The sequence below is a fragment of the Homo sapiens genome, chromosome X, assembly GCF_000001405.40.
Source record: "Homo sapiens chromosome X, GRCh38.p14 Primary Assembly".
Taxonomy (NCBI): domain Eukaryota; kingdom Metazoa; phylum Chordata; class Mammalia; order Primates; family Hominidae; genus Homo; species Homo sapiens.
Window position 1 is genome coordinate 39,909,779 of NC_000023.11, and position 12,383 is coordinate 39,922,161.

Here is a 12,383-nt window from a genome sequence, read left to right on the forward strand (position 1 = left end):
CAAGGCCATAGTCTCACCCACCAGGGGGCTGCCAACTGCTATATGTGGCTGGAATATGGGATAACAGGGTCGGGGGCACTAGATGAGGCCTGGAAAAGTTGCAGGAATCCATCATCGCAGGCCTCGGGGGGCTCAGCTAAGGGGATCAAACTTACTCCTGAGGGCAATGGTGAGGCATGGAAGATTGTAGAGGGATCTAGGGTTGGTCCTGAAAGGTAACCCTGGCAGCAGAGTAGAAGGCTTTGAGAGAGGCAGCTGGAGGCAGAGATTTAGACAAAGTGAGCTCTCAGGTCCCTTTCAACTTGGAAGCTCTAGAAGTCTCCAGGGGAATTACCGAGGTGGGGCGGTGGCATGGAGAAGAAACCCAGGCCAGGGGTGACCAGCCAAATCTCCTGAACATTGACGATGGGGAGAGATGGCCACCAGCGTCAACAGCAGGCAGCAGGCCTCCCTGTGGGCTGAGCTCAGCACACACTTCCAGCCCTGACGCAGAGCCAGTCCTACTTGGGCCTATCATGTGGCTAGGCCCTGAGGGTCCCAAATGTTCCCCAAGGCTGGCAGACAGGGCAGGAGGACAAACCAGCACAGATTAGACATCAGGGCAATGATGGATGGGAGAGAAGCCGCCTCAGGCCCTGGGGCAGAACCAGGTAGGCACTGGACCTCTGTATTCCTCCGAGGGATATGGGCATTTGGGGCCCCTCCAGCCCTGCCACAGCTTGGCTCTGCATTCCTCTCCCCTCCCCGGCTTGGACATACATGGGGCCGGCAGGGGCGAGGGATGCTCTGTCCACCCACAGTGCCCTGAGAGGCCCAGGCAGGGCTCGAACGCTGACTCCAGCCCCTTCCCACCTAGAGGGAGGCCCGGCTTGTGACCACCCTGAATTTTTCTTGCAGCCTCTTGGCCCAGCCTCGCTGCAAGTCTGTTGACAAGCTGGGAGAGCTGACAGTAAAACGAGCTGAGGCCCAAAGTAGGGAGGCGGCACTGCGAGGAGACACTTCGTCATTAGAATGCAGCACGATTCCGCAAGCCTTTCTCCAGTGCCCGGGCCACTCTTGCCAAGCGCTGTGTGCAGAGCTGCAGGGAACAGGGCAGGACAAGGCGCCCAGAACCAAGAGTCCCGGGAAGACAAGGAGATGCTTGTCGGGGTTCTGGGAACCTGCAGAGGCCGCAGGGCCCAGGGCAGGCCCGGGCTGCGCAAGGAGCTCCAGCTCCCAGGGAGGGGCACTGGGAGTCCGAGACCAGCCCCCCAGCCCTCAGCGCCCCCATCCACTGTCCTTTCTGCCTGACTCCCTCTTCCCTGGCTTTAAAGGATCATTAATTCTTTCTTCTGTCAATCCACAAAGGCAGAGACACCTCCTACTAAATGGGGAGGATGGGGAGGATGGGAGCAGAGCGAGGAGGAAATGGGGGTCTCTATGATGCACCTCTAAGTTATTCTTGCTCCTGCCCTCCGGGAGCTCACAGTCTAATCAGGGAGATAGATATAGTTGCAACCGCCCATGATGCAATCAGATATAAAGGCTAAGTGGCGTCTATACTTAGTAACATGAGAGTTGGGGGAAATTCATCACAGTAGCTAACGCATCCAGCAACAACCTCACCCCAGGTACTGTACTAAGTGGTTGACATGCATTCACTCATTTCCTCCTCATCACAGCTCTGAGGCAGGTGCTAGTGCTAGCCCCATTTGACAGATTAGGAAACTGAGGCACAGAGACGTTGAGTAACTTTCCCAAGGTCACACAGGTGGAACCAAGATTTGTCCCTAGTGGCCTGGCTCCAGAGTCTGTGCCTTTAACCACCAGGCCAGACTAAAGGAATAATGGCATCTCTTTGGTCTTTGCAGCAGCACTGGTGAGTGCTGGAGAGCACGGCGCCCTGGGTCGGGCAGACCCACAGTGGTCGTCATGTGGCCTTGCGCAACTCCTGTGCCCTTTCTAAGCTTCAGTTTCCTCTCCAATAAAATGCGGAGAGCAACAGTATAGCACCTTCCTCCCAGGGCTGCCAGGAGAAGTAAATGAGCAGAGACGTGTGGAGATCTTAGCACAGGGCCTGCGCAGAACAGATGCACGCAGACGTTGCTCCATTTACACGGGCCTTTGAGAGCTGCAAGACCCTTCCACACTCATTCAGTAGACTGGACAGAGAAGCAGCTGGAGAGATGAAGGCTTTGGGAATGGCTTCTGAGGAGGGGCGGTGCTTGTCTCACTAGAATAGCCAGGTCCCCAGAGATCTCTCCCTATTCCCGAATCCTGGCTTGATCTCACTCCCAGACTTCCGAGCCATCACACAAGGGCATTGATCACCACCCCCTGCATCAGGGATAGTCCAAGGCTCAGCAGCCCCCAGCGTTCAGGAACCAACGGCCTCAAGTCAGCTGATATCCAGATGAAGGACCCAGAGAGTGAGGGAGGATAGGCCCTGGAGTTGGGGAGCGGAGAAGCCTCTGTCCCCACCCCATCCTGTTGAGGAGCTACAGAGCCTGCCTGGGATTCACTCCCCACAAGAAAGCCACCCCCACGCCATCGCCCTCTGCACAGATTTGCAGACGGTTCCCTGATGCAACCTAGGGCCCTCTCTGGCTAGCATCCACCAGCCTCAGATGCAACTGGAAGAAAATAATGTGTAAATGAGAGCTGGAACCTGCACTGCAATGGGCGGGCAAAAGCCAGCTCCCTTTTGGGCTTCAGCCCTGGGCTTCTACCCACCTCTGTGACCTTGCAGCTCTGTGACCTTGTGGCTCCGTGACTCTGCAGCTCTGTGACTGCACTGGCTCTTCCTTTAGTGAGCACCCTTGCATACCCCATTTTGCCTGCCTGGAAATATCAGCTTTCAGCCCCATCTCTCCCATGGCACTTTGTCTGATGAATACCCCACCCACCCCATCTCACATACATGCATGTGCGCACGCACGCACACACACACACACACACACACACACACACAAAGGTTAACATTTACTCTCCTCTCCTTACGCCCATGTGTGGGTACCTTTATTGAAAAAGTACCACATGGTGTTGTTACATTTTTTTTCTTTCACCTGTCTCCCAGTTCCAGTTACCTATTGCTGCACTTTAAAAAATCACCCAAAACCTAATGGCTTAAAACTATGACATTTATTTTGCTCACCAACCTGCAATTTCAATGGGGCATGATGGAGACAGCTTCTTTCTCCTCCACTCGGTGTCAGCTGGGGCAGCTGGGAGTCTGGGGTGGGAGCACCCAAAGGCCCCCTCTCATGTGCAGAGGTTCTCACTATCTGTTGTTTGGGATCTTGGCTGGAACTGGGCCTCCTGGCAGGAGAGCGGGGCAAATTAAAGGGAATCTCACCCATGAGGAACTCAGAAGCTCATTGGAGGTGCTAAGAAATGGCAGTTCCTCTTCTCTGCCTTTTCCTGACCCTTCACAGCCTCCAGAATGGCAACAGTGCCCAGTCCAGGGCTTTCTCAGATTCCTGAAGATGGAGCTTGGGAAGAAAGAGATTGCCTGCTCTCTTAACCCCAGATGGGAAGGTAGCAGACAGCCCAGCCTGCTCAGCCATGCTCTCACTGTGGAGGGGACAGTGACTCACCAGTCCTTCTTCACCAGCCTGGCAAGAATATCCCTCAACATCATCCAACTCCTGTTATATCACTTCCATAGTTACTAAACCCTCCAGTGAACCCTTGCTGCATCACAGAGGACCCTAAAACCTAGTGGCTTAAAACAACAGCCATTTTATTATCTTTCATGATGATGGGGGTCAGGAATTAGGGCAGGGCTCAGTTGGGTGATTCTTCAGCAACACATGGCATTGAATGGGGTCACTTGATGATATTCATCTAGTAACTGCTCTAGTCTGGAGGATCCAAGATGGCCCCACTCCTGTGCCTGGTGCCTTGGCAAGGGAGGCTGGAGGGCTGGCTCAGCAGGGCTTCTCTCCCTTTCCATGTAGCATTGTGACCATTCCACGGGGTCTCTCCAGCAGTGTGGTCCAGCTTCTCACATGGTGACTTGGAGCTCCAAGGAACCAAGGCAGGAGCCTTTGAAAAGTCTAAGCCTGACACTGGCATGGCATCACTTCTGCCATCCTCCATTAGTCAAAGCAGCTTGGGCCCAGCCCAGACTCAGGGAAGGGGTAACTGACCCCACTTCTCCATAGGAGAAGCCTCAAAGTTTCTGTGGTCCTCTTTAAATGGCCAAGCAATCTTTGGACCCAGGGCCCAGGCTCCTGGGTAGGTCTGTCTGCCCATCAGGAAGTTCTGTGCCCAAGGTCAATCCCATTACTCACTCCAGACTGAACTTATGGGCTGAATTGTTCCCCTCAAATTCATATGTTGAAGTCTCAGGACCTCAGAACGTGACCTTATTTGGAGATAGGGCCTTTACAAAGATAATCGAGTTAAAATAAAGCTATTAGGGTGGGCTTAATCCAATCTGACTGTTGTCCTCATAAGAAGAGGGAATTTAGACACACAGAGAGACACCAGGGTGTGTGTGCACAAAGGAAAGATTGTGTCAGGACACAGTGGGAAGGCAATCATCTACAAGCCAAGGAAAGAGGCCTCCGAAGAAACCAACCCTGCAGAGACCTTGATCTTGGACTTCTAGTCTCCAGAACTGTGAGAAAATAAAATTTCTGTCGCTTAAGCCCCTCAGTAAGTGGTATTTTCTTATTGCAGCCCAAGCAGACTAATACAGAGCTCCTGCAGGTAATTAATACATTGGCATTTTGGTCTCTATTATTCTCAAGTGAATGTGGTGAAGTCTATTACTTAGCTGCTTTGAGAGTTTGATTAATGTGATAAAAGTTCACAGAATGGGAGTGGGGGTGGAACAGGGAATCAAGGTCCTGTCCTGCAAAGATGAGGCTTGGGCCAGGCCCCTTGGGGCGCCAGGCAGGTGCCAGCAAGGTGTGTGGCAGCCCAGAGTGGACAGCAAGCCAGTGCCTGCCTGCCCTCAACACACCACCATCCCAGGGTCCAGGGAGGAGGAGTCAGCCTCAGCTGGGCCGAGGTCAAGATCCTAGGACCCTTTTGGAGAGACACTGAAGGAGCAGATCAAAGAAGCAAGATCCTAGGTTTGGCATTCACAGCATCTAGGCATCGGCTGAGGTGACAGATGTTTGGCACACAGGCCACGGCAGCTCCTCTCTGGGTCCTCCCTTCTTGGCAACTTCTGTTGCGTTGGTTGCCTCTGTTTCTCCTCACTCCACCTGGGATGGTGCTGCTTGATCCCAAGGGAAAGTGATGGCCTCCAAGAGGTAATGCCCACAGACAGCTTGAGTGCCAGGAGGCAGGGATGACCAGCAGGGTAGTGAAGAGCATTATTGTTGTCCTTCCAGGTAGTGGTGCCTCTCCAGAGTGAGGCAGCTGTGGTCACTCCAAGCCCAGCGGACCTGCCCCACCCCTGCCCAGGCCAAGTCCTGGTCTCTGTTACTCACTGGGGTTGGGTGGCTTGGTTGAGGTTTTCTGCACCTGGTAAAACAAACAGAGCATCAAGAAGGTGGCAGCCTTGCTGAGAGCTCTGCCACTGAGGGACAGGCCTCAGCCCTCAAGCCGCCAGCCTGGGCCTTGTGTTTTCACTAGAAGCCAACCTCCCAGGGTGGCCTGGGCTCCCAGGCCCTCAGGGATGGTGTTACACAGTGCAATCTTTCCTTATGGCTGGGGGAGAGATGGGCAGGTGGACACTCGGCAGAAGAGGAGGTTTTTTTCACCCTTTTCAGAAGCGCAATTGGCCTGCAGTGAGAAGAAACAAAGGAACGCAAACCACGAGCACTTTCAAACAGAGGCCTGCAGCCCCTGAGCTCCGACAAGGAGCTCAATCTGGCGGAGGACCATGACAGCAGAATCTGATTTCCTCCCCGCGGCAACTTCAACAGAGGCTACTTTATTTTAGCTTCATTGTATAAGGTCAAACTGAGGCTTAGAGAGGGGAGGCGATAGATTCAACATCACCCAGCTGGCAAGAGGCAGGGCCTAGATTCAAAGCCAGGCCTGTCGGATGCAATTTCTCTGCCGTTAAAATCTACCCTATGTTGGCCAGGCGCGGTGGCTCGTGCCTGTAATCCCAGCACTTTGGGAAGCCGAGGACGGCCGATTGAGGGTAGGAGTTCAAGACGTGGCCAACATGGCAAAACCTCATTTCTACTAAAAATACAAAAATTACCTGGGTGTGGTGGCAAGTGCCTATAATCCCAACTACCTGGGAGGCTGAGGCAGGAGAATCCTTTGAACCCGGGAGGCAGAGGTTGCAGTGAGCCGAGCTCGCACCACTGCACTCCAGCCTGGGCAACAGAGCGAGACTCCGTCTCAAAAAAAAAAAAAATTCTACCCTATGCTATGCCTCCAGGATAACGAGGCATGGTAGTGTGCATGCACATGTGTATGTGCATGTGTGCGTGAGTTTAGAGTAATGGAAATCGATTACACGGCGGGTGCGGTGGCTCACGCCTGCAATCCCTGGACTTTGGGAGGCTGAGACAGGCAGATCACTTGAGGTCAGGAGTTCGAGACCAGTCTGGCCAGCATGGTGAAACCCTGTCTCTACTAAAACTACAAAAAGATCAGCTGGGCGTGGTAGCACATGCCTGTAATCCCAGCTACTAGGGAGGCTGAGGCACCAGAATTGCTTGAACTCAGGAGGTGGAGGTTGCAGTGAGCCGAGATTGTGCCACTGCACTCCGACGTGGGTGACAGAGCAAGACTGTTTCAAAAAAAAAATTGATTACAGCACATGATAATTAAAAATTGACATGACACTTCATTATTTTAAAAATTCCTCAGCAGATCGTCGTGTCGGGGAATTTCTCACTGACCCCAGTTCACGACCATGTCCATGGGGTTTTCTCCTTTGGTCCCCCTTCTCTCCCTGCCCCTTTCTTTCCCCACTTGCAGGCCACCCCCTGGAAAACTCTTTCTAATTAGGCAGAGCAATTCAATCCTCACTAAGCCTCATGAACCTTCCCAAACCGGAGAAAACCCAACAAAGCTCATCAAAGTATCAAAATAGTTTTACACCTGCCACAGAAAAGCACTCTAGGTGTCTGCCCCTCCTACCTCTCTGCTGCCGTCCGTATCTCCATAATTTGAGACTCTATAAGCTGGAAAAGGCCCAGCAGCAGGGAGAGCAACTGTCTCACTTTACAGATGAGGACACTGAGGTTCAGGTTGGTGATGTGGTCTGACCAGCGCCAAGGAGCACATGTCTGGAGGTTTGGGGCTGGAACCCAGGAATAGAGCCGCCTAGATCTTACCTAACTTGGTACTTCTTACCCTTCATAGGTTGTATCAGCAGGACGGGCTTTGCCCGTGTGGTAACAGGAAGCCTGTATTCATTCTGCATTTCTAGGTAGAAAATTGCTCCAAAACTCCACAACTTACACAGCCTATTTTGATCATCTCACACAGTTTCTGAGGGGCAGGAATGTGGGATCAGCTTAGCTGGTGGTTCTGGCTCCAAGTTATTCACACAAGGCTGCAATCAAGGCGTTGTCTGGGGCTTCGGTCTCCGAAGACCCCACCGGGGCTAAAGGATCCACTTCCAAGCTCACTAATGTGGCTGTTGGCAGGAGGCGTCAGTTCCTTGCTACATGCGCCTCTTTGTATTGCTGCTCATGACATAACTTCCCTGGAACCAGTGACCCATGAGAGAGAGAAAGCAAACCCAAGACAGAAGCAGCAGTCTTTGTATAACCTAACCACAGAAGTGACACGCCATCACTTCTGCCATATGGTTGTTACTGGTCATACAAGCCAACCCTGGTACAATGTGGGAGGGGCCTATACAAGGGTATAAATACCGGGAGGGAGAATCATTGAGGACTATCTTAGAGGCTGCCTACCAAACAACTCAAGATATTAGCAGCTTAAACAAGAGAAAAATGTATTTTCCTCTAACGCAGATATAGTCTATGGAAACAGTCCAAAGTTGATATGATGGTTCCATCTTCATGTGAGATCCAGACTTCCTCCCTCATCTCTTTGCCACTTCATGGTCTAAGGTGGCTACTCAAGCTCCAGCCATCACATCTGCACTCCAGCCAGTAGGAAGAAAAAAGATCTCTTTCTTTTTACAAACACTTCCCAGAACTTGCACATACCATGTCTATTTATATTCCCTTGGCCGGTAATTCATCACAAGGTTACTTCCAGCCTGCAAAGGAGGCTAAAAATTTTAGTCTTTATTTCACATGGGTTATGTGTCCAGAAAGAATTCAGAGGTTCTATTACTGAGAAGAAAGGGGGGAAAATGGAGGTTTGGGGATAACTAGCAATCTCTGTTTTTGATAACCCAATAAAGGCAATGAACTCTTTCACAGAAAAAAAAAAAAAAAAAGAAATCATGTACATGCAAAAGTGTGCATGCAACTTCAGAGGGTTTACAGATGCCTGTGAAGTCAGTTTATGGATGTCACACAAAGAACCTCTACACCTCTGGCCAGGACCTCAGCCTGTTCCTGTGTATGAACAGTGTTCACTTAGACCCTTTGGACGAGGTCCCTCTGAGAGGGCAAAGGACACGCCCAGCACATTTCCTCAATGGGGCATGAACCACTTCATCTAATACCTACCTGGTAGGCTGTGTCACCCCGGGAAGAGTCGTCCTGGTGTCTGGCAGATTGTGGACCTCACTTTCCTTCAGCGACTTCATGCAAAACAAGGGCTGATAAGGAAGAAACTGAAAGGGGTTGGTGTCACGGGTTATGCTGCGGGACCCCCCATTTGTGTTTTCAAGAATCAGCCAATAGTGTTCATTGGAATTCCAGATCAGCTTTTCTCTGCTGACATTTCAAATGCCAGGTTACAAGTACACAGGCATGGAGCCATTCTCAACACTGTTCAAATTAACCATACTTTTCCTAGGGCTAAAGATAGGTCCAAGGTTAAAACCACAATGAGATACCACTTTACATTGACTAGAACGGCTAAAATAAAAAAGAACAACAATGCCAAGTATTAACGGGAGTGACAAGCAAGAGGAACTGTCGTCTGTTGCTGGAGGTATGTAAAATAGTCCAGCCACTTTGGAGGACAGTTTGACAGTTTCTTTCAAAGTTATGCATGCACTTACCATAAGACCCACCTATCCCACTCCTGCAAGAGAGAGGAAAGCATTTGTTCACAAAAAGATTTGAACATGAGACCGGGCGTGGTGGCTCACACCTGTACCAGCACTTTGGGAGGCTGAGGCGGGCAGATCACCTGAGGTCAGGAGTTCGAGACCAGCCTGGCCTGGTGAAATCCTGTCTCTACTAAAAATATAGGCCGGGCGCGGTGGCTCACTCCTGCAAACCCAGTACTTTGGGAGGCCGAGACGGGCAGATCACGATGTCAGGAGATCGAGACCATCCTGGCTAACATGGTGAAACCCTGTCTCTACTAAAAAATACAAAAAATTAGCCGGGCATGGTGGCTGGCTCCTGTAGTCCCAGCTACTCGGGAGGCTGAGGCAGGAGAATGGCGGGAACCCAGGAGGCGGAGCTTGCAGTGAGCCGAGATCACCCCACTGCACTCCAGCCTGGGCAACAAAGCGAGACTCCATCTCCAAAAAAATAAAAAATAAAAAATAAATAAAAATAATGAAAATACAAAATTAGCTGGGCGTGGTGGCGCACACCTGTGATCCCAGCTACTCGGGAGGTGGAGGCACAAGAATCGCTTGAACCAGGGAAGCAGAAGTTGCAGTAAGCCGAGATTGCGCCACTGCACTCCAGCCTGGGTGACAAGAGTGAAACTCCGTCTCAAAAAAAAAAAAAAAAAGATTTGAACATGAATGTTCATAGCAGCATTATTCACAGCAGCCAAAAACTGGAAACAATGCAAACAACCATCTATAGGTTAATGAATATACGAACTAGGGTACATCTATACAATGGAGAACTACTCTGCCGTAAAAAGGAGCAAACTACTGATAGACACAACTTGGATGATCTTAAATGCAATATGCCGTGTGAAAAAAGCTGAGCACAAAAGACTGCATGCCATGTGCTTGCATTTATATGAAATTCAAGAACAAGCAAGATTAAGCTATGATAATAGAAATCAGAAAAGAGAAGGAGCATGAAAGAATGTTCTGGAATGGTGGAAATGAGCTATATCTTGATAGGAGGATGTGTTACACAAGAAAACCCCTCAAACCATAGCACCTAAGATTGGTATATTTCACTGTATGTAAGTTACACCTAAACTTAGAAAAAGAAAAAAAAGATCTGACTGAAATGCAGGAGTCAGTACCCCACAGACCAAACCCCAGCCAACTGCTTGACCACTGTGCAGAGCAAGACTCAGTGCTGGGTCAACCGTAGCAACTCAAGCTGAGAGATATCGAGGTCTTCCAGGGAAGGGGGTTATACCACAGACAGCCTCGGTGGGTCAACATGCAGGTAGTAATGATACTAATAGCAGAACTGACTGAGCTCTGGCCCTGCCCAAATTCTGCTGAATGTAGTCCCTGTGTTCAGAACAACTAGTTCCCCTCAAATGCACAAGGGGCTCAGGCTAGCATCCACCACCCTAGCAGGCCCTTTCCATACCATTCAGCCTGCACAAAGACAGCCAATGTGACCACAATGCAGCAAACGTAGACACAGAGAATGTCAGTTCCCAGAGATCCTGTTGGTCAGCTCCCCATTTCATAGAGGAGAAAACTGAGACCCAGACAGGGGAGGGCCTCTCCATCTGTCACACAGGGACTGAGTGGCAGAGCCCAGAATAGCACCCCATCCCTGGACTCCCGCTCCAGTGCTCACATGTCCATATTGCCCAGTACTTTCCTTCCGACTTTTCCAAAAGGACTGAAATGAACCTCAAGAAACCCTGTTTTTCTTCATTTTTAAAAAAAAATATATGCAAAAAAAAAAAAAGGTTTTGGTGCAAGTGGGCTTTCCCTCTAGTGGATTAGAGTCCATGTTGGCCACATTGATACAAAAGTAAAAAGAAGTCCGGCCAGGTACAGTGGCTCAAGCTTGTAATCCCCGCACTTTGGGAGGCTGAGGTGGGTGGATCACTTGAAACCAGGAGCTCGAGACCAGTCTGGACAACACAGTAAAGCCCTTTCTCTACCAAAAAAATACAAAAATTAGCCAGGTGTGGTGGTGCGTGCCTGTTGTCCCAGCTACTTGGGAGGCTGAGGCAGGAGAATGACTTGGACCCAGGTGGCGGAGGTTGCAGTGAGCTGAGATCGTGCCACTGAACTCCAGCCTGGGCAACAGAGCGAGACTCTGTCTCAAAAACTAAATAAATAAATAAAAGAAGTCCAAAAGTTGTGGGGGTTTTTCCTCATTCCACAAATCAAAAGCAGCAGGTGCTTCCACACATCCCAGCAGGCACCATTAAGGCAAGTCTGAAACTGGCTGCATTAGGGAGTGGGGACTTCCTGAGCCGTCGTGCCCCCCCTGCCTGCTGAGGGACAAGAAGATGGCCAAACAGGTACCCAGGGAGCCTCAGAAACTCTCTCTCCTTCCCAAAGAGCATCCATCTCTTGAAGCTCTCCAATTTGCATTAAAAGAGACCAAAGTACCAAATGGGAAGCGCCTTTGCCCCAGACTCGAGTGACCAAATGCCATTTGCATATCCAAGTATCTTAGAACACCGCCCCCATCGTTCCTCCCCTTTTGCAACTGCACCCCTCTTCCTCCTCTATACACAAACAGAATCTCAAAGCCTAGCCCTGCCCCTCTCCCTGCCCCTCAGGACACTTTATACTACTACTAATACAAGAGCAGCCGGGCGTGGTGCCTCAGCTAGGTGCAGTGGCTCACACCTGTAATCCCAGCACTTTGGGAGGCTGAGGCGGGCAGATCACTTGAGGTCAGGAGTTCAAAACCAGCCTGGCCAACATGGTGAAACCCCGCCTCTACTAAAAATACAAAAATTAGCCAGGCTTGGTGGCACACACCTGTAATCCCAGCTACTCGGGGGGGCTGAGGCAGGAGAATCGCTTGAACCCAGGAGATGGAGGCTGCAGTGAGCTGAGATCACGCCACCGCACTCCAGCCTGGGTGACAGAGTGACACTCCATCTTAAAGAAACACACACAAGTAAACAAAAACAAGAGCAGCTGCAGTTTGTTGAGGACTTACTCTGTGGTAGGCACTGTATCAGTTACATAGAGTTCTTTGATTGCAAATAACAGAAACAGGTTCTGACTAATTTGGGCAAAAGGAAATTGACTGGAAGATGATGGGAGGTTGGCACAATAGTTCAGAAGCCTGGAGAAGAAAGCTTGGCCTTGGCAGGGGCCAGGGCAGACCCAGGGACACATGACCAGCTCTTGGCATTCTGGTGTCTCCATTCTTCCACTTAAGATTCCAGTGCCAGGCAGGAGTGTAAAATGGCACGGTCACTTTGAACAACAGTCTGGAAGTCTCTCACAAGGTTTAACATATGATTACCCTACA